This window comes from Homo sapiens, chromosome 3, assembly GCF_000001405.40.
Source record: "Homo sapiens chromosome 3, GRCh38.p14 Primary Assembly".
Taxonomy (NCBI): Eukaryota; Metazoa; Chordata; class Mammalia; order Primates; family Hominidae; genus Homo; species Homo sapiens.
In genome coordinates this window covers 123,270,281-123,291,937 of record NC_000003.12, presented here as the reverse complement: position 1 = coordinate 123,291,937, position 21,657 = coordinate 123,270,281, and the positions used below count along the sequence as shown (strand labels likewise).

General features: G+C 48.1%; 2 protein-coding genes across 24 annotated transcripts in view; one reads left to right on the top strand and one right to left on the bottom strand.

The window, feature by feature from the left end:
• ADCY5 (adenylate cyclase 5) overlaps positions 1 to 9,642 on the top strand; it is a 166,795-nt gene extending 157,153 nt beyond the window's left edge. For all 18 annotated transcript variants that reach the window (NM_183357.3, NM_001378259.1, XM_011512359.3 and 15 more), the window contains 4 exons: positions 562 to 825; positions 1,984 to 2,188; positions 5,129 to 5,253; positions 7,202 to 9,642. In NM_183357.3, the coding sequence (NP_899200.1) occupies positions 562 to 825; positions 1,984 to 2,188; positions 5,129 to 5,253; positions 7,202 to 7,330 (723 nt within the window). In that variant the 3' untranslated portion in view covers positions 7,331 to 9,642. The remainder of the gene's footprint in view (positions 1 to 561; positions 826 to 1,983; positions 2,189 to 5,128; positions 5,254 to 7,201) is intronic.
• The window catches only part of SEC22A (SEC22 homolog A, vesicle trafficking protein), a 72,194-nt gene continuing 68,338 nt past the window's right edge, over positions 17,802 to 21,657 (bottom strand). For all 6 annotated transcript variants that reach the window (XM_011512675.4, XM_011512676.4, NM_012430.5 and 3 more), the window contains one exon: positions 17,802 to 20,416. In XM_011512675.4, the coding sequence (XP_011510977.1) occupies positions 20,216 to 20,416 (201 nt within the window). In that variant the 3' untranslated portion in view covers positions 17,802 to 20,215. The remainder of the gene's footprint in view (positions 20,417 to 21,657) is intronic.

Sequence of the window (21,657 nt, the reverse complement as noted above, 5' to 3'; positions counted from 1 at the left end):
GCTCCTCCTGGCTGCATCTGGCTCTGGGGCAAGTCTGCCCTCCTGGGAGACAGACTGGGCAGGGCTTTGGGCTGTTTTCCCCCACAGGTCCGTCAATTAAGGTAACTCTGGCTTTTGATTCCATTTCCTGATATTAAGAGGACAATGAACAGTGGAGGAGCACCGGGGAGCTGGAGGGCTGTGTGGGCTGTGTTTTGGATCCTTTTCCCTTCCAGCCTGGTTCTGGCCTTTGGCAGACAGGATCCTTGCAGCCTCACCTCCAGGCTTGTTCCTGCTCGGGGCTCCCTGCTGCAGGCTCAGCACCCCCAGAGAGGCTGGCAGAGAGAGTTCGAGGCTCAGAAATGTCTTTTCTGATTGTCAAAGTCCTGCTCTTTGGAGAAAACCTGGAAGTAGAAACAGCAGAGAGAGGAGGAGAGACAGCGGTACTTGCCAACATCCTGGGCACAAGTTGGCATTTGCGTGACTGGTGCTTTTTCTCCAGGCCACGGAGAGGAGGAGGTGGAGGGGCCGACATCTGGGCTCACATTGGCATCTGGGTGACTTGCAGTCTTTTTCTCTCAGGCCACAGAGGAGAAAGAGGAGATGGAGGAGCTGCAGGCCTACAACCGGCGGCTGCTGCACAACATCCTGCCCAAGGACGTGGCCGCTCACTTCCTGGCCCGCGAGCGGCGCAATGATGAGCTCTACTATCAGTCCTGTGAGTGTGTGGCGGTCATGTTCGCCTCCATCGCCAACTTCTCCGAGTTCTACGTTGAGCTGGAGGCCAACAACGAGGGTGTCGAGTGCCTGCGGCTACTCAATGAGATCATCGCTGACTTTGATGAGGTGCACAGCGGGGCCTGGGTCAGGCTGTGTTCCTGGGAGGGGCCTACAAGTCCCTGGTATGGGAGGGATGTGAAGAGACCTGGCGCCCCCTTCTACCATCGTGACATAAGCAGTGATGATGGGAGCTCTGCCGGCGGGAACCTGACCGTGTCCCCAGGTGCTGCAATGGGCACCTTGCACACATGGCCTCTCTCATCATCATGTGACAGATGAGGAAACTGAGGCCCACAGAACTCAAGTGTCTGGCCTGAGGTCACTGCCAATAAGTGGCAGAGCTGGGGTTTCAGCCCACACTGTTTGAACTTAGCCTTTGGCAGCTCTCTGACTGGCTCGCTGACCACCATTCCTCTTGTGCCATCTAGGGTGCATGGGGTCCCAGGGCCTGGGACAACCCAGTGTCTGTGCCCAGGGCTTTGAGAGAACCAAAGGAAGGAGGAGTCCTCAGGCTAAGGGAGGAGGCAGGAGAAAGATGTGAGGCCCTGAGTAGCAGAGGCCAAATTGAAGCATTCCTTCATTTCCTTCTCATACTCTGGTTGAGCACCTGGCGTGTGGAGGCACTGGGGATGCAGAGCCCGGTAGGGCAGTCTTGACCCTGGGAGCTCCTGAGTCATGGGCGTGAGAGGGGCCACCCCAGCGGGCACGCCGGGCCTGGGCATGGGGCACAGGGAGAAGCAGGATGATGGAGCTTGGCCAGGCAGTGTCAGGAACGGCCTGCAAGACTCCCGGGGCAGTGGAGTGATGGGAGTTGGCTGAGTTGAGTGTGGGAAGGCTTCCAGGAGGGCCGGGGCCAGGGGGTAGGGAAAGAATTTGCCTGCTGGACAAATGGAGGTTTCCCTGGGTGGGATGGAGGTGTGAGCTTGTTGAAGGGGAGACAAGAGACCCAGAGGTGACTAGTGACCTTGTCTTCAGGGCTCCTGGCGTGAGGGTGGGCAGGTAGCCCACAGGCACTGTCCAGTGGGTGAGTGAGTGTGGAGGGGCCTGGCTGTGTCAGGAGCGTTGCGGGCATCACACTGATGAGGATGGAGACAGGCCCCACTGTGTGAAGAGCGGACACATGAAGGGCCATGCTGCTGCACTTCCCTGGACATCCTCTGTCCCTCCCTGTGGCCCTCGGTGTCCCAGGCTTGGGGTGACCCAGGTTTGGCCTCCTTCATCCAGATCATCAGCGAGGATCGGTTCCGGCAGCTGGAGAAGATCAAGACCATCGGCAGCACCTACATGGCTGCCTCCGGCCTCAACGACTCTACCTACGACAAGGTGGGCAAGACCCACATCAAGGCACTGGCCGACTTTGCCATGAAGCTGATGGACCAGATGAAGTACATCAATGAGCACTCCTTCAACAACTTCCAGATGAAGATCGGTGAGTGGGGGCCCAGGGAGTGCTGAGCCCAGGGTGCAGTCAGGCAGAGGGCTGGCAGGGGCTCCCCCATACCCCATACCGCATCCGCCATTGTGGTCCCAAGGTAGAAGGCCAGGCGGCAGCAGAGGCTGATGTGGTGTGTTCCCTGCCCTTAGTAGGTGGGGGCAGGCATGGGTCATTCACAGCGGAATCCGCCCAGAGCCTGGCGATGCCTCTGCTGCCTTTTGACATGAGGGCCACATGGGTAGGACACCCCTTGGTGAGTTCCCACCTCACTCAGATGCAGGGCCGGCCTGGTGGGACCCAGGCTGTGCCTGCTCGAAGGGCTTTGTGGGGGATGCTCTGTGCCGAGGGCATGGGGCCTTCTGGTGGTTGTAGCACAGCAGATGGCAGTCCCATTTGTTTCGAGTAATACTGACCTAACCGCGTTGTTTTATTTAAAAGTATTCCACATTCATTCAGTAAAAATGGAAAACAGTAAAATCAAATACTTGATACATTTTAAATACACAATGTATAAACATGTTACCAGTCATTAAATTTGCAAATGTAGAACAACATCAAACATGTAATCTGCAAAATCGTTAGCAAAACAAAGTGAAATAGTTTAAAAAACTAAACATTTAAAGAATCATGTGATAGTGACCGTGAAATGATTATATTCTGACTTCTTAAAAAGAGTTACTTTTTACTCTTTTTATACAAGTTATGAAATGGGTCAGTGGGGTTATTGTTGAGTTGAGGTGGTGAGCAAAATCTTCCAGTGGCTGCTCATCCAAACTGGGGAAAGAAATGGTGAGGAGGTTGTGACAGGTCAAAGCCCTGGATCTTCCCTGGACTCCTTTGTCACATGCCTTGCCTTAGTTGGATGGCTCTGGAGGGGCTGTGCCGATACCTCTGTGGTGTCCGGCAGAGGTCCTGGATCAGTTTCAAAATAGTCATGACCATATTCTTGCTCAGAAAGTCTTTGAACCAAAAACATATGTATTTTTCTTTTTGTAAAGTCAGTTTTGTTTCATTACCCCCAACCTTTTATTTTGACAAGTTTCAACTCTACAGAAGAGATGAATGGTAAAATGAAAACCCAGGTACACACTTCCCCATGTGTTCCACCCTACTGTGTCCATAAAATAACTGTGGAATGCCAGCTCTGAACTCGTTCCACAAAGCCCAAAGTATTTCTGCAGTTTGTTTGTCCTTAGAATAGGTCTTACCGAGGGTGTACGGTCTGATGGAGCACAAGTTAGTTTTGCAATAGAAAGCTGACTTGGTGGAGTGTTGCTCCTCCCAAGGTCTGTGGAGGTAAAGAATGCTTTCTGAAAGAGCAGGCCTTTGTTCTATTAGCCATTTAATGCATTATCAACTCCCTGGGTATGTTTCAAGCCATCAATGATTCAGATTTCAAATTTTTAAAAATTACAATTATCATCCACAAAAGTACCGGCATTTCAGTTCTCAAAATTAACACATTATACCGAAATATTGGATGACTAAAAACCAGTATTGTGATCATTCCTGTCCTTGGGAGACATTTTGTTGCAGCCTGAGTGTCAGGAATCGGGCTTTCCCTGGGCCAGCTGGCTTGCTTTATCCCATAGGCACAGTGCTTTGTGGGCTTGGCCAGGTTTGCATCCTGCACTGGCTGCTGGAGGCCCCGAGCACAGCCAGCTGGGAGTCTGCTTTAAGTGATGTGCAGCCTCCATTTCTGCATTAACGTCACGCACTCTTGGTCTTGTGTAACATTGCCATTCTTGTTTTCCTTTCACCCCATCTCGTCCACCTGCTTTGGTTTGCATTTTTCTCCCAGTGTGTGTTTTTGAAAAGCCTCAACTCCTTGATTGGATCAGGCCTGGGGACTGAGTGTAGAATCTGCCAAGAGGTAGATAAGGAGCCGGGCAGGCAGCTGGGAGCCTGTGTGGCAGCTCCCCTCCTACAGACTCAGGCTTGTCTTCCCTGGGTGGCATGGCTTTGGGAAATAGAAGCCATCAGGGCTCAGTCTGGTCAGCAAGGTGGACAGTCCAGCCTGGTGATGGCACATGGGGTATAAAGCTGCCTGCGGCTTGGAAGGACTGATGAGGAGGGTCGTGGAAGGAAGTTCTGAGGACTGATGGCATTGCTGACCAAGTGAGGGTCACCAGGGGCCTAGTTTGGAGCTTGTGTGTTTTCAGTCCTGCCCTTCACACACAAGAAACAGGCAAGAGTGAGGCCTAATGAGGACAGTACGAGACCGGCAGGTTACACAGGAGGGAATGCCCCGTGCCTGGAGACAGGACAGGAAATGTCTAGGGAACATCAGTTGAGCCAGATACATGGGGGCAGGATTTAGCCTGGGGAGGAGGAGAGAGAACGCTTCAGGAGGGAGAAGCAGCTCAGCGAAGGCTCAGAGGCAGTGATGCTCAGCGTTGCCTTGGGTGAGATTGGGAAAGTGGGCAGAGGAGAGCCGAAGTGGTGGCCAGAGCTTGGTTGCTGCAGTGTGCCTGCCCCAGCTCAGAGGCGGGGGAGCAGGAGGACTTGGAGAGAGGAGACTGGCACAGGGCGATGAGTTGGGCAGGATCTAAGAGTGAGAATGGCGAGGAAAGAAACAGAAGAATGAGGAAGAGAGACACAGCCAGTCTGATAGGTTGCGCCTAAATGGCTCCAAGAGGAGGAGGATTAGGGAAAGGCAACTGCATTGCACAGGAGGTCACTAGAGACCTTGAAGAGGGCACTCCTGGTGAGGGGTGTCGAGGACACAGGTGCAGGCTCCTTGTGTCTTGCATTCACAGGCATTTGACAGGAGCAGGGTAGCGGGAGGCTGCAGGGTTTAGCACAGCCTTGGGCCTGGAAGCCCACGGGTGTCTCAGGTTGGGAGTCAGAAGGACCTGCAGCATGTGGGGAGACAGATGGTGGCAAGGTCAAGCCAGAGATGTGATGACTGTGGCTGATTCCTGTCCCCTGCAGGGCTCAACATCGGCCCCGTGGTGGCCGGGGTGATAGGGGCACGAAAGCCTCAGTACGACATCTGGGGCAATACCGTGAACGTGGCCAGCCGCATGGACAGCACCGGTGTACCCGACCGCATCCAGGTGAGTGCAGGAGCATCCACCACCCCTCACCCCATGGGAGGTCCTGTGTCTGACACCGAGAGGTCTTCAGGGCAGGCCACCTACAGTTCCCAGTCAGAATGTCTGCAGCCAGATTCAAGGGTGATGGGGCTGTTGACGCTGATGTCTTGGAAGCTTGGAGAACACAATTGTGTTTCAGGCCCTCAGCACCTTGGACAGATCTTCAGGCTTCTGCAGAGCCCTCTACTGGGCATGGAAGGGACTGGGGGCTGCTGGGAGTGGATCTGATTGTAGAGGCCGAGCTGAGAGTGCACATGCAGGCCCCAGTGCCTCCTAGCCCAGGCACACAGAGAGGATGCAAAGATGTCTGCAGGGAGCAGGTCTTACCCATTGAGCCTGCAGCACTCCTGGCCTGGCTCAGGAGAGCCAGTGGGGGCTGCTGGCCCTGGGATGGTACCTCCCCCAGCCCCAGCAGCCAAGGGCCCTGGCCACAGACTCAGAGGCCTTTTCCCCTTGCTCCCTCCTTTGCGAGCTGGGCTTGTGGTTTCCCGGCCTGCTGTTCTTCAGCTGCTGCTTTTTGAGCCTTCCTTGATTCTCTGCTGCAGTCTGATGGCAGAGGCACCGCCCTGGGCAGTAGTCCTCCTGCACGGCCCTCACCCCCAGTTCTCTGTGAGGCTGTGGGAGGTCAGCTTGCCTGGCCTGTTTTTCCAGGTGCTAACTGTGCTGCTTTTAAGGCCTTTTGCCAACACTGATGATACTGCTTAAATGTCCTGACTTCTCTCCCCCACAGGGCCTCTGAATAAAGGGCCTGACCCCAAGCACAGTCCTGGTCCACTCAGCCTGACCTGGCTGAGGTGTGGATGCTGGCCGAGGGGCCTGGCCTTAATGGCCTTTTCTCACCTCCATCCCTGTGCAAAGGAGAGAAGGACAGCAGGATGGGCCTAGAGATAGGAGCAAGGGGCATGTGTGTTTCCAAGGCTTCCAGCCCATTCAGGGACAGGCGCAAGGGACTCTCTGAGCAGCCACCATAATGACCCAGCAACTCACCTTGTGTGGGGCTGCACCACACAGGAACTGCAGCTAGTAACACAGTGGGGTCCCCTCTCAGCAGCCCACCCAGCACTCCTACCGCCTGCTGCCTGGCACTTGCACTCACTGGTGGGCTTGCAGTGTGGCTGGGGTGGGGAGCTCTGACGATGCTCACAAACAGCTCTTGGGTCATCCCAGGAGCCACTGGCTATGCTGCCCCTCCCCACATCTGTCCCCACCACTCTTCTCTTTCACCCAGCAATGGGATAGTGAAATTAGTGAGGCCATCGGTGAGCTCTCTTCTTTGTTCCGAAAGCTAAAGCAGAGCCAGACAACAAGACCTGGACCTAAGCACAGGCCCTGCCATTTATTCACTGTGTAACCTCAGGCTCGTGACTTAGATGCTCTGAGCCTGAGGGTAATAACATTAGTCACCTCACAGGAAGATGCAGTGAGATAAGCAAAGGCTCTCAAACGACCTGTGGTGAAAAAAGCAGCTTTTAAAAATCGTTCTGATCTGTCACGGAGGGATGCTTTTGTACAATGCACCGGGGACACACTTGGAGACGGGCTGCAGCCAGGTCAGATGGCTTTGAAAGCTCCCCGGCACTTACTGTCCACTCCTGAACTTATTCTGGACTCAGGGCAGTCAGTCCATGGACCACAGGCCACACTGAAACAGCACACGCAAGCTGCCCGTCACAGTGCCTGGCACGAGCAGGTGCTGAGGGTGAGAGCTGGCGTTGCTCTTTTCTTAGGATCCCTTCCATGGTGAGCTGCTGTCTGTCAGTCCCTGAGAGCACCTCAGTGGGGCAGCTGCCCCTCTCCTTCTGTGTCAGGGGCGGCAACAGGGCTGGGCAGTCAGAGGTGGCTCTACCCCACAGCAGTTCATGGCCAAGGCCATCAGTGGCTTGCCCTCTCTCCTCCTGTTCCCCCACAGGTCACCACAGACATGTACCAGGTGCTGGCTGCCAACACGTACCAGCTGGAGTGCCGGGGCGTGGTCAAGGTCAAGGGCAAAGGCGAGATGATGACCTACTTCCTCAATGGAGGGCCCCCGCTCAGTTAGCAGCTGTTGGCCAATGGTGCCAGGCAGCCTGGCCTCCAGAGGCATGGAAGCAGCTTCTCTGTGTGCCGGGGGTGGCGGGGAAGCCATGCTCCAGCCCGCAGGGCTGCGCTGCTGAGATTTTCCACTTGGACTCCAGAGCAGCTTCTGCCTTTGCTGGTGGGCAGCGGCCTCTGTCCCAGGCCCCGGGGTGCCAGCGTCCTGCGAGCACCCAGCTGACCAAAGATGTTTCCCTCTGTAGAAGACTCTGCTAGACTGGGTCTGAAGCTTGAGTTTTCTAACAGGTGCTGCTGCACAGGTGGAAAGGAGCCGTGGGAATGTGTGTGTGGCACGGCCCAGACAAGGGCAGGGCTGAGGGGCCTCCGACTCAGCTGGGGGTAGACGGGCTCGAATGTGGCCTGGGAGAGCCTAGGGGGCCCCAGGGGTCTGCTTTTCTATGTGAGCCTTTAAACTTCAGACAGGCCACCACCCTGCACCTGCAGGGGCTTTGGCACAGGAGTGCTGGCTTTGGAGGGACTGTGGCCTTCATCGTGGTCCTCTGCCCACACCTCCACGCACACAGACAGTGCCCTAGGAGGGAAACAGAACTAATTACGAGGGGGAGGCAAGAGGACGCCAAGCAAGGAGTGGTGATTCTGAGAAAAATATTTATTAAATAAAACAAAACAAGTTCTCCGTGCCCTTCTTTAGACTATGCTAGTTGTATGCGTGTAAGAGACACACAAGCAAACGAGGACGCCACTCGGGGGGAGGGCGGGGATCCCCACTTGTCTTTTTTGTATTTTTTATTTTGTATTATTGAAAGCCTTGGAGATCTCACAGATAGATATGCCAAATTCTATATTTTGTAAATTCTCTATATTAGAAAACAGCTGTGCACAGCAGGGCGGGTGTGCTCATTTGTACTGTGTGTATGTCGGTGTATGTACTGGTGTATATGTGTGTGTGTTCATGCTGTGGAACTGGTCTCACACAGGATGTGTTTCCCTCATTTCAGATTTGGCAGTTTTGGGTTTTCCAAGGTACCACCAGAGCAGTGGGTGTGTGCTTTTGGGGTACCATATGCTCAGATTAAGTAGGAGGATGCATGGACACACTGCCCCATCTTTTCTGACACACGCACACGTATGTACACACATGCACACACCCTCCTTCCCCTAAGCAAAACGCAGATGGAATAAGAAAACAAAAAGCTGCTTTCCCATCCCAGGCCGAGCTGGAACCAAGGGAAGCAATCTCATCCTGCGACAGGCAGTGTGGTGCCCTCCACACCCTGAGATTTCAGACGTTTGCGGCTTACAGAGGCAGCGCCCACAGATTCCAGAGTGCTTACAGAAGGCCAGGTGCTTTGCAGGCTGGGACGAGGAAGCCAAGCCTCCCTGGCCTACTCAGTTGGCCAAGGTGCAGGTGGCTCTTCCTGGAGATGTTCACTCAGACTGGGGGATGCAATGTGCAGCCTTCAGGTTTGCGGAAAGGGAGTGGCCTTGACCTCCACCGGCAAACCAGGCAGAGGAATGGGTAGAGCCCAGCTTTAGAGTCCACAGGGAAAGCTAGCAGGAATTTTGTTTTAGTGGGAGGGGGCAGTTAAACATACCAAGAAAAAAATACTATTTTTATAACCTATGAGGAAGACATTTGGAAAATGATACTCTAGCACAGAATTCAGTGGAATCCTTAGGGCCCATGCCCAAATCTTTCCATTGCTTCTCAGGTTAGAATGATCTTCACCTCCAACATGAGCTTGGAGGTGATGAGGCAGTGGCTCTGTGCCAGCTGCCACAATGTGACTTTGATGTCCACCTGTACCACCTCTCACTGGGCTCTAGCACCACCCTCCCCTCCCCGCACACCAACTGAACACAGCTCTGAGAAGCAAAGTGTGTGGACCCAAAACTGCCAAGCCTGAGTCTGTCCCGTGCTTCTGCTGCTCCATCCTTTGAGTTCTGCATTGCCATCCTGACGTCGGCCACAGGAGGCCTGCTTTCTTCCAGCTGTTGTTCTCAAGTTCCCTGCCCCTCCACATCGCCCGCCAGTGGTGTTGGGTTTTCGTTCTGCTTCCAACCTGAGTAAAGTGTGTGTGCTGAGTTCATCCCATGTTCTCCCATGGTCATGGCTTCCCGGCCCCATGGGGACCCCTCTCCCATCCCAGCAGTGACTGGTGACAGTGTGCAGGTGCAGTGCTAGCTCTTCGTTCCCTCTAAAGGGTGTGCACTCTTTTTATTCCTACTCTTGCAAAAACAGATACGATTATGATTTCCCATGGAAATTGAAAAGTCTATTTAAATAATTTAACTATTAAACACTTTCACTGGTAATGTGTCCTGGTCTGATTTGCAGGTTGAGCCAGGGGGGCCTGGCCCTGGGTTGAAGAACAGTGTACCCAGCCTTGGGGGTGCTGGGGAGGGGAGCCGCAGAGGGCAGAGAACTCCCCTGAGTGGGGGACAGCACCTTGCTATAGAGATAATGTTGGCTGAAGACTGCGGTCCTTGTGGGAGAACACTGGTGACCATAGCAAGAGTCAGTGCATGGGGCTGGGGAGCAGGTGCACCCAGAGCAGGAGGCTGAGGAACAAGAGCTGAGTAGGGACCAGAAGTGAAGGGGATACAAAATCCAGGATCAGACCAGAAAAGACCAGGTCCAGGGAAGGATGCTCTAACATGTTTATATGTTGGATGAGCCAAACATGTTTATATGCCACGGGAAAGAAAGGTGAAAACACAGGCATGGAACACAGATAATGGAAAGGACCCAGGCAGGTGAGTGGGGACAAGCTGCAGGCCAGAAGTGAACTGATTTGACCTGCATAGCTAATAATGATGGCATTCTCTGTGTGCCACACTGGGATATGCACCATACAAACATTATCTCATTTAATCATACTGATGAAGGAACTGAGGTACAGAGAGGTTGAGTTATTTGCCTAAGGCCACACAGCTAGTAATGAACAGAGATGAGTTTCAGAGCAGGCCTGTCTGCCGTCAAACCCCATGCAAGGAAACTCATGCGGACCTAGGACTCCTCTCCCCGCTGAGAGGAAGGGAGAGGTGGTAGGGGAGGCAGGGGCCCCTGTCAGCACTTCTGCCTGCTGTGCCATCAAATGCCAGGTTATATTTGGGTTAAGGAAAGAAATTCAGAGGGGGTTGCTCACATTAAGTTGAACACAGGTATAAATAAAGGCAGCAGTGAAAAAGATTTCACAGCTTCACTGACCAATAGCCACGTGGGGACATAGATGTCAGTCCTGGGCATGTGGCCTCCTGCTCCAAAGAAGGTAGACATCATTAAGGACTTCAATGTGCCTGCAGAAAGATGTCATTTTACTGAGGTAAGACTTTAAGTCTGAGAAATTTTCATGCTGGAGTACATTCATTAGAAAAGGAGACCAAATGATAAAACGTTCAAACTTAAGGGGCCAATTGGCCTACGTGGGAACCTCAGCTCCTGAAGAACTTCCACCCTGCTGTAGCCAGTAGAGACTAGGCCCTCAGGCAGGCTCCATGAAACCACGCGTGTAGATACCAAGGAAATGCAACTCAAAACCATCAAAAGCCCTTTCCAACCCCATCCCCACTGAGCTAGTCCCAGAGAACCTACTTGTTTCTCCCTTACGAGGGTCTACTTTTTTCCAAAAGCATATTCATATCTAGAACACCAATAAGCAAAAAGTTGATTTGAAAAGATGCTTTTGATAGGTGGGGTGAGTTTTGAACACCACTTTAACGCCCACTGACAGCAAACATCACTGAAACCAAGACCAGACTTCAGCCAACATGGTGATGATTTGACTGTAGTGTGATGTTAGCAGCTAATTAGTGGGAAGACAGTGAATCCTGGTGCATTGGAGAGGCTCAAAATAAATATTCACCAGCTAGCCACCTTACTCTTAAGACATTCAAAGTTAGAAATACATTCACAGAACTTTTCCAAAAGCAAAATTACCTGAGTGGCATGTAGTTAAATGACGCCAGGAGCTGCGGGTTTTCCATAGTGCTGCAATGGCCACGAGCTGTTCATCAGCGGGATATGAGCTTCCTGGAGTCTGAAAAAGGTGCTGAGCCCGGGTCCCTGCAGGGCAGGAAAGCCTTTTCAGGCATTTCAGCATATAGTGTTCACAAGTGCTTAGCAGATTCTCACTGCTGCCTGAACAAAAGAACGATGATGGCAGTGACAAACACGCTCTGAAATACGGCAGCTTTTGAATTTGTCTAAATCCAAATCACACACTAAAGAGAACAAATGCTGTCCAGTTCACCTTCAGAGGGAAGGGACTGACAGGGCTTGGCCATGCTGGCCATGCTGGCCCTGGCTGCCCACTGCAAGGCCCCCATCACTGAGCACAGGATCAGGAGGAGAGTTGGAAGGGCTGCTGTTATTTATGGGTGTGGGGAGGGGGAGGGCACAGCAGACCAGAGAGACCATCCCACTCCATTTGGATGAACTTCACGGTGTGTAGAGAGCTTCCACACACATTTTCTCACCTGTGCCTCCTCAGGCCTGGGAAGCCATTCGAGAAAGGACCAGAGCCTTGCCCAAGGCCACCCTGGTACTCAGAGCAGTCCCTGTGGCACTAGTCCAGAAGCACTTCTGTTCAGGGTGCCCATCTAGCTGGGTATTGAAGAGCTTGGCAGGAACAGCGGGCTCACCACTCCTCAAGGTTAACAATAGATGAAATGAGATCTGATGACTTAAGTGGGCTTTTCTTGTCCTTCCAGATTTTCACAAAAGCCGTCTTGGTGGCTTTTCATCCCTGTCTTGGGAAGGAAAATGTGATATTGGCTGTCCTCTCGCCATCTTTCTTTCCCACCTGCAGGGTCCCTGCTTGACGAGACGGACATGAGCAAAGGCAAATGAGGGCATTGGAGTAGCTGGTCTCCAGACTCTCTCCCTCCACTGGCACTCCCTGAGTCTAAATATTTGTGTCACTCTCTATCCAATCTTCAAGTGCCAGACCACATGTATGGTGCAAATATAAACACAATCTAATTAAGACGTTAAGATTTAGAGCCAAAGGCACAGAGACAAATGAGGTAAAAGTATCGTGCCAAGGGGGATGTGTGGGAAAATCACCTTCAAACCAAAGTCAGAACCAGCCCTTGCTTTGTCCTCCTGCAGACACCAGTCTGGCCCAGCAGCGTTCACAACATCAGCACAGTCAGGGGTGTCTCCCTTCGAGGGCCCCATTCAGGAGTGACGGGTGAGTGGAGATCAATCCAGGTTCACAGAGCAAGCAGAGGGTCCAGAGAGGGAAGGGGAGGAAGACGGTGAAGAGAAGGATAGGATTCACCTAGAGTTGAGGGCCAAGTAGGCAGGCATCCTGTCCCCACGGGATTCCCAGCGCCCAACCTCACCTGCCCAAGTGTCTAGTGAGCAGAGCTGATCCACTGAGGGCATTTGCATCCCCAGGGCCTCTCTCTCCTACTGCTACTCCATCAGGGCCATGAATTTAAAGAATTCTCACTGGAATCCATAAGGGGGACTATCACGGTTTTCCCTTGACCGATTTCTAATTTAGATCTGCCTGGAATCTCAGGTTTGTCAGCATCTCTGGTTAGCCTGAGACTAGTTTTCTTACTTTGCAAAATTGCTTCCCCACTTTGTTAGCTATAGTGGCAGTCCCCTCCCGGCTCACATGGGTTTTTTTGGAGGGTGCCTTTTGCCTCAGATTCTTTTAAAAGCCATGTTGCATTTGTGCAATTTAAGAGCGCCTTTCAGCTCTCACGTCCCCAGCATCTGCATGATACTGCAGCTGAAGGCTGTGGCTGCCTCCCCACACCCCTCATCTTCCCATCAACGCGTGTGCACACTCACGAGGGCCCTCAGAGTGTGGGCACAAGGGCTGCTGCCATCCATGAGCAAATTGTAGATCAGATTCGAATGTTCCAAGTCAGGTGTGTTGGGACCAAAATGCTGGTTCCATGCTGGATAGGGCAAGGTTCTTAGAGGCACCTCCCTCACTCACCAGCACCCCAGTGCCTGGGAGACTCTGCAGGTACTGGCGAGCACAGTCTACCACTCCCAGGTGTGTGACACAGGGCTTCATCCTGCTTCCTTCCCTCAGGAGGACTTTAAGGTGGGCAAAGCACCTGGCATACAGCAGGCATTTGGCAAATGTGAGTCCTTCAACCCCCTCTTCTCTCTTTGGATGCACCTCCAGTGCCCTGACCAGAAGTCTGCCCACAAGTGCCTGCCTGCTAGATATTTCAATGGGATTCTTACTTAAGTGGTGGCTTCTGAAAAGTTTTGTGCAATGATTTACGACATTCAGGGGCATTTGCAATTTAAAAGACTCTTAGCACCTTTAACTGCAACAAGGAAGACCACAACGTGGTGGCAAACGCTCTCCTAGCACTTGATGTGCCAGTCTCTAAGTGCTTTACATTTACGCACTCAATCGTCACAACACTGCTTTGCCAAAGGTACGATTATTATCCCCACTTTACATCTGAGGAAACTGAGGCAGAAGGATTAAGTAATTTGCTGAGGTCACCATGCTAGTAGAAGAGAGAGCCAGGGATGATTCTGGCTCCAAACTCTTAAACACTATTTTACACTGTGAAAAGTTCCCTTCTATTTTTTGGTTAATGTTTTCAGAGGGATCACAAATTCCCTAATCACCTAACAGAATTCCCATTAAATGACATCAAGTCAAAGAATCAACCTATTCTGGCATTTTGCTAGGAAAAGCAAATGTTTGTAACACCCAAATCACCAATAATGCTTTTATTTTCCACATCAAGATTAATTTATATGTTAGTTTTAGTACAAGTACTAAAATGTATACTTCTTGCCCTAATAGCTAAGGTATACATAAGCTTCACCATACATCTTGCAGCCACCTGTCTGTCCTATGTCATTGTTATAAATGTAGAGATTTTAGGAAACTATTTTATTCAACCTGGGACATCTATACTGTAGGAGTTAGCACTGACCTGATGTCTTATTTAAAAGTAATGTATATTACCTTTACATATATTCCTTATATATTTAAACGTATTTCCATGTTATCCAGCTTAAAATCACATGGTGGTTAAGAGCATGAGTTCTGAGTCAGATCTGGACTGAAATCCTGATGCTACCACATGGGTTAGGTTGTGACTGTGGTCAAGTCACTTAACTTCTTCATGGCCCAGGTGGCTCATTTTTAAAAGAGAAAACCTTCATAAATGCTTTCGGTAAAGATGAGATGCTTAGCATAGTGCCTGTCACACAGTATACATTGCCATTTCCCCCTTCCTGTCTGCTTCATCTGTTCACACTGCTGCTAAAACAGTAAGAACCCAGCTGTCGTCAGTCACACACACATTCCCTAAGAAGTGTCTTTCTGAGATGCACTGTGGCACAGAAAAATGAGCACCAACTTTCAAGCGACTTAAACCCAACTCCAAATTTGAACTTCACATCCACCACCAAGTGTCATACCATACGAAGACAAGTTCCTGGCCTGAGTCTTGGTTTCCTCAAATGCAAATGAGATCGTGCCCGCTCCACCTCATGCTGCCATAAGGATGAACTAAGGAGAACCCAGCACTGGCCCACAAAATGAGCTAACAAGCATTCTCCTCATTAGTCCTAGGCACTGGAGAGATTCAAAGTGCAAGAATGAAATACTTTGTTCATCTTTAGGCAAGGTCCTTTGCAACCCAACCTCAAAGAAAAGTGCTGGCACAAAGAAGGTAAGCAAGCAAGGCAGAGCTGGGGAGGGGACACCAGGAACAAATGGGGAGTGGAATGCCTGAGTCCTGCTTCCCGTTGTCAGATGGTGCCTGAATGTGCTTTCTGTTGGGTGATGCTTGTATGGCTGTGCTGTGAGATGCAGGAGAAAGGGGTGAATGTAAACCGTGGGTGGGTTTGGGCTGAAAATACTGTTTGTTGCCAAGGAAACACAAGGAACAATTCATAAGGCTAGGATATTGATTTCAAAAACTCTGAGAACTAAGGCTGATCTCTGAGTTTCCTAAAACCCCCAATTGTGCTGAGACGACTGATTACACATCAGCATTGCCAACGCAGAAGAAACCTGAATGCCCACGCATCAACACCACTCACTGTTAACAAGCAGGAGCATATGCGCCACGTGGCTTCCAACCACACAGTGTTTCCACGTTTCTTTTGATTTCATCTACTAAATAACCTAGAAAACTCAGCCACTCAAGAAAGAGACAAGAGTGGCAGCCAGTTTTTCTCTTTGAAAAACTCGATGCTTAAACAGGAGGCCGCAATCTGCCAGCATTCAACAGCAGCCCCAGAACATTAATGATCACACACCTCCAACCTTACCGGTAATGCTCAGAGTGACATTCTCGGCTCACTCAGCCCTTTTACACAAACTCAGTCACAACCCTTGGAGCTGGGTTTCTTTTGTTAACTTTTAGCGAGGTTATTACTAAAGCCAATTTAACCCTAAAATCAGACCTTACTTTACCACAGCATTTTTAGGGAGAAAGACTTTGGTTCCTTAGAGATAAGGCAGAAAAATACTATAAAGCATTGAACACAGACAAAGAATGTGGCCCTAAAGAGTGACCTATAACTTGTGGTTAAGGCTAAGTGTTCAATGAGGTTTTGAGTGGTGGCTGCTCTTGAACGTATGTGTTCTTTTACCACACACTCCACAGAAGTTCTAACTCTTACAGTGAGCCAAAAGTCTGTTAAAATAGTAACAAGGAAGGTGTACACACACACACAACCTTTGTTGAGTTCCTTGGAAACCCAACAGCTCAGAGTATGACCTTAGGTCACTTAGTAAACCTTTTGAAATGAAGGCCAAGCAATTGCCTTTTAGGGGAGCAGCTGACCTCAGAAGCCACGGAGGTTAGGTCCTTTATGACAAACTTCTGGTCTCTGTGGAGCCCTGATGAAGTAGGAGTCTAATGGGGTTCCACACGTGGCCTAACAGAAATGGAGCTGTCCATCTCTCCACACTAGATTCCACTGTGGAGACATTTACTGCAATATAAATGTGCCAATCCAAGGATAGCACACTCACTTTCAATCTTATAATTCTGTAATACAGAATTGGGTAAAGGTTCTCCATGTCTTAAGGCATTTGTCTCAAATGATTTTCAAGCTTAATACTTGTTTTCAGCTTAGGATTCTTACCTATGAAAACAAAATCCTTTATTAACCACACCTACACAAATCCCCCCAAATCCTGAAATGGAAGCCTTTGAAAGCTGGTACAAGGTAAGGATCCAAGGCACAATCATAACATGTAAATGTGTGAAAATCGAGAATTCTGTTCATTTTAGCACTTCACAGGACCCCCAGTGAGAACACCTTTACTAGAAGGCATCAGGAAAGGCTCTCCCCTAAGGAACTGGTATGCTTTTCACCTACTGATAGGGCAGTGCATAACTTCTTTCCCTACCCTTAGCCTTGATTTCCAGAAAGTTCCAGAGTCAAATTTTACATACAATAATGTATGTAAACCCTCCCTTCAATTTTCATTTGTTTTTCTTCCCTTTCTGTTCATATTTCATTAACATGGCTGTATATGTCTTTTCTTGGTATGCTGCTTCAAGTGCTTTTGGGAAAGAGGCCAGGTATTAATGTAAATATATTTCAAATACAGACTGAAAAAAGCAAGCAAATATTGCAATTATCTTAGTATATAAAAGAGGGTATCTTCGCTCTCATGGTACACCTTAATCAAAAAGCAGTATTTAGGAATTATCTAAATTAAAATAAAATACACCTATTAGGATAAAATACTCCAGCAGCAGGCCTGGACTCACCAATTTCAGAACCCCTCAACTCCTTGGCTTTACCAAGAACAGTCATATTCCCTGAATATAACACTGGTCACCTTCACTAGTTCCATGCTAGTGCGAAGAGCCCTGCACTAGATCAGGGTTGTGTGTGCTTAGCTATGTGAACTGGCTAAGTCATTACCATCTGATCACCTCTGTGTCCTCCCCCTTAGAGTGAGGGCAGCTACTACTGCTCCTATGCTACAAAACTATGAGGAGGTAAACTCAGGCTTGCTCTTAGAAGTGCAATAGAAACAGAAGATCATACACCATGGAGGCCTAAAGTGATTCTTTCTAAAGAGCCTAAGGACTTTTTTTTTTTTTTGAGACAGAGTCTCACTCCGTCACCCAGGCTGGAGTGCAGTGGTGTGATCTCGGCTCACTGCAACCTCCGCCTCCTGGATTCAAGCGATTCTCCTGCCTCAGCCTCCCAAGCAGCTGGTACTATAGGCGCCTGCCACCACGCCCAGCTTATTTTTTTTGGTATTTTTAGTAGAGACGGGGTTTCACTATGTTGACCAGGCTGGTCTCAAACTCCTGACCTCGTGATCCACCCACCTTGAGCTCCCAAAGTGCTGGGATTACAGGCATGAGCCACCGTGCCCGGCCAGGACTTTACACCAATTTCTTTTTCTAAATTCAAAGTTCTTTTTTTGGCAGCAATGATACAGGTGGGGAAATGATATAAACACGGAGATACAGGCACCAAATAATGAAAGAAAACATTTCTATACATAAAACATTTATACCTGTTTTCATTTTTTTACATTAAGATGTAAACATCCTCTTATCCAAAATAGCCAGTGAAAAAATAAAAACAAAAACAAAGTAAGCCTTTAAAAATAGTTGGTGAGGAGTTTTCAAGTGTTCTTGCTGAATGTATCCGAATACCAAACATTGTAACTCGTCAATTCAATGACAAGGAGGTAGCTCCTGAACCAAACTGGTGCGAGCTGTGTCAATACAGAGCAAAATCTCAACCAGAATGCTCCAACTTCCCTATTTACAAGAAAATTCTGTTTTAACCATTAGTTTAGAAAACCTTTCTTTTTTGAGACAGAGTCTCGCTCTGTTGGCCAGGCTGGAGTACAGTGGCGTGATCTTGGCTCACTGCCAACTTCCACCTCCTGGGTTCAAGCGATTCTCCTGCCTCAGCCTCCCGAGTAGCTGGGACTAAAGGCACGCGCAACCACACCCAGCTAAATTTTGTATTTTTAGTAGAGATGAGGTTTCACCACGTTGGCCAGGCTGATTCTCAAACTACTGGTCTCAAGTGATCTGCCTGTCTCGGCCTCCCAAAGTGCTGGGATTACAGGCCTGAGTCACCGTGCCTGGCCTGAAACCCTTTCTAAATTGAACCACTTCACTTTCCTGGCTACAAAATGCCCAACACAATTCAATGGTGTTTTGATGATTCAGGATCTTGTGATGCCTTGGGGTATCTCTCAGAATATGCATACTTTTGTTAGAGGAGAAGACTGGAGCCAACTACTATTTCCTGTTTTACATGAATCCCTGATATCATAAGCTTATTGTCTTCCTTTTACCTCATTCTCCTAAAAGGAGGGTGCAGACTAAGGTTCTAGTTAAGCAAGATTTTACAGTTCTAGACATATCCACAAATACTGGTTCACGCAAACAAGACAGTTCACTAACTTTTTACCCTCTATTTCTCTACTTAATAAATATGCCTAGTAACAACAATTACAATGTAATGGGATCTGTTTTTCTGGATGATATCAAATTTCAGTATCCTATGAATTCCTTGTTTGAAATATTTTCTTTAAAAAACAAAGGAAAATCACCCATGAAGATGACTTCCAAAACCATGAGAGTTATAGATTTTGCTAGTGGAATCCAACTGTGCTTCCTATATTATTAATTCATAACTGCTTAAACAATCTTTAAAACGTTATCAAAAAACAAGTAAGTTCTCTCAGATACTAGGGGCTTAATTCCTCAAAGCCATAAAATAATGAGTTGCTAGGAAAGCCACCTTCTGATTCTTACTACAGTCAAGCATTTCCATAGTGCGGACCCATGCCACTGGTGGCACACAACATGTCTTTAAGTGATGCACAACATAGAATAATGCTGAATCACAGTGAGAATGTCATTCCCTTTACAGTTTCCTTTTATCCTCTGACTATTCCAGAGACAGTGCCTCATGCTGGTGCTGGTAACATCTCCCTCACTGCCACAAAGAAAGAGCCTAAGATTCGGAGCCTTTCTAGGCATTAGTTTCTAGCTAGAACTGAACAACATTTTTTGTGTTCATCTTACTTATTTTGTGGTTACCTTTTATTTATGGCAAACTGATACTGGTTTTCCACTTGGAGCAGGATTCATTTTTTTAAAAAAACTTTAAAATTTAAAAGATAAATATTAAGAAAATAATACAAGTAGTACTAAAGAGACTGAAGTTTGGGAAACAACGGCTATAGTGTGAGTCATATTTTTTAGACGTGATTTCAAAAGAAACAATAAATGTGGATTAGAAAGGAAACATCCATTACTGTATTTTCGATACTTGTGATGTTCCACAGACGAGCTCATCACAGTCTTCTTCTACATCAGGTGATTTCCAGAGTTAAGATTCAAGCAAAAATATAAAAGTAAAAAGAACCAATTTCACACCATCTTGGACTTTATAAACTCGTAGTACCATAAGTGTGCAAATAATCTGATATTTATCACAGTCATTTATTTAAAACATAAACTTTCCAATTTCTGCAGCTTTTTATTTGGTCTATACTAATGCCTCACAAAGGCAAACTCAGGTTGTAGAGTTCCTCCTGCCTGGTCCTCAGAGCAATACCACATCTATTTTCTGAACTCTTCAGGAAGGATTCAGGACTGCTGGCCAAGACTTCCAATGGCATATGACTGTTCTTCCACTGTTACGGCCTTGAAGAGAGAAATCCCCTCCTCCTCTGAATGATAGTCTCATGGCCAACATTCTTCTGAGAGGACTCTTCCATGCTCACAGGCACATCATGCTGATTTTAAAAAAGGAAAGTTGGAGAGAAAGAAAGCAGAGCTTCTCCTCTGTGGGGAACAGCTTCTTCATCACAGTGCAGTTATGATATGTTCCCTCCTTATCCCCCTGAAGCCAAGGCAATAGATCTGAAGGATGGTGTCAGACATCATAATCGGGAGCCTTGCCCTGGGCTTGCCTTAGCCAGATCTGTAGTGTAACAAATGCTCCCACAGTCACATGAAAGAAAAGCTGCCAGAGGTTGCGCAGTTCATAGAGATACATGTTGCATAGACAGATTAAGCCAAAAGTCAAAAAAGATTTGACATTCCGCCAGCCGGTGTAGTAGACAAGTAAATAACACTGTTCAAAATATAAAAATGAAAGATGATTAGGGTTACAGGAAAAGAAACAGATGTTTCTAATATAAAATTGTAACAGGTCAGAGAGTAAAATATAAGAATGGATAAGGTTATTTTTTATCTAGGGATAAGATAATGTAGCATATATCTAAGACATTCAGCTATGAAAGTTTCACAGTTTGAAAGGGAAATAGATTTTCCTCTTAAGTTTTTCATTTTTCAGAAGAAAAGCATTTTGTATCATATTTTAAATGGAAGTACAATGGAATGACTTCCTTGCAAACAGGCTGAGCAAATTCCCCATGGTGACAGGCAACTAAGAAGCATTCCCAGGGTCTGCGGGTGTTCCATTCTCACCCAGGAAAATACAAAAAAGCACATACAAGCTATTCTACAAAATGGACTCTTAATATAACCTGAGTCTGAGTATTAACAAAATCCACAACATTTTACTAGTCGCCCACTGAGTACAAGGAACTATGCTAGGTACAGCATCTGACTGAACATTTGAGGGAGAATTCATTCAACAAATATTTACTCAGGGCCTGCTACAAGTCAGGCATTGTTCTTCAGTTGTAAGTAAAACAAAGCCCTTGTTCATATAAATATTAAATTTTAATGGGGAAGAATTATAAATGTATTTTAAATATATAATATCAAACAGTTATGTCTTGAAAAAGAGAAAGCAGGAAAAAGGGATAGGGAGTAAGAATGATAGTGGGTGCTATTTTAGATGAAACGGTCAAGAAAGTACTCCCCCTCTCACCGCTCCTGCCCATCCTGGCATTCACCCTTTACTGCTTTATTTTTCTCCACAACATACTATAAACATACTTGAGAAATGTGCTTATTTTGTTTGTCATCCATAGGCTTTCAACAGAATCTATTTCATGAGGGGTGAGATTTTTTACTGTTATTTACTCATTTATCTCCAGTGCCCAGAACAGTGCCTGGGACATAGTAAGTGCTCAATGTGTTGAGTGAATAAACTGTTTTCTAGAAGATGTCTAAAATTCACAACCTGGTAAGTATAGGAACCACAAAGTCTAAGAGAGAGGCCCAGGTCTCTCTGAGAAACTGTGTCCAGGCTTCAGAATGGGAAGGACACACCAGTGTCTGTTATAATGCAGAAAGAATGTGGAAATGTTCTGTTAAATATGTTTAGTTCTTATGCAAATTTGGACTGTTTACTTAAAAAGAAGACTGCTATCCAAGCAAAATGAATTGGAAGTATTTATCAGT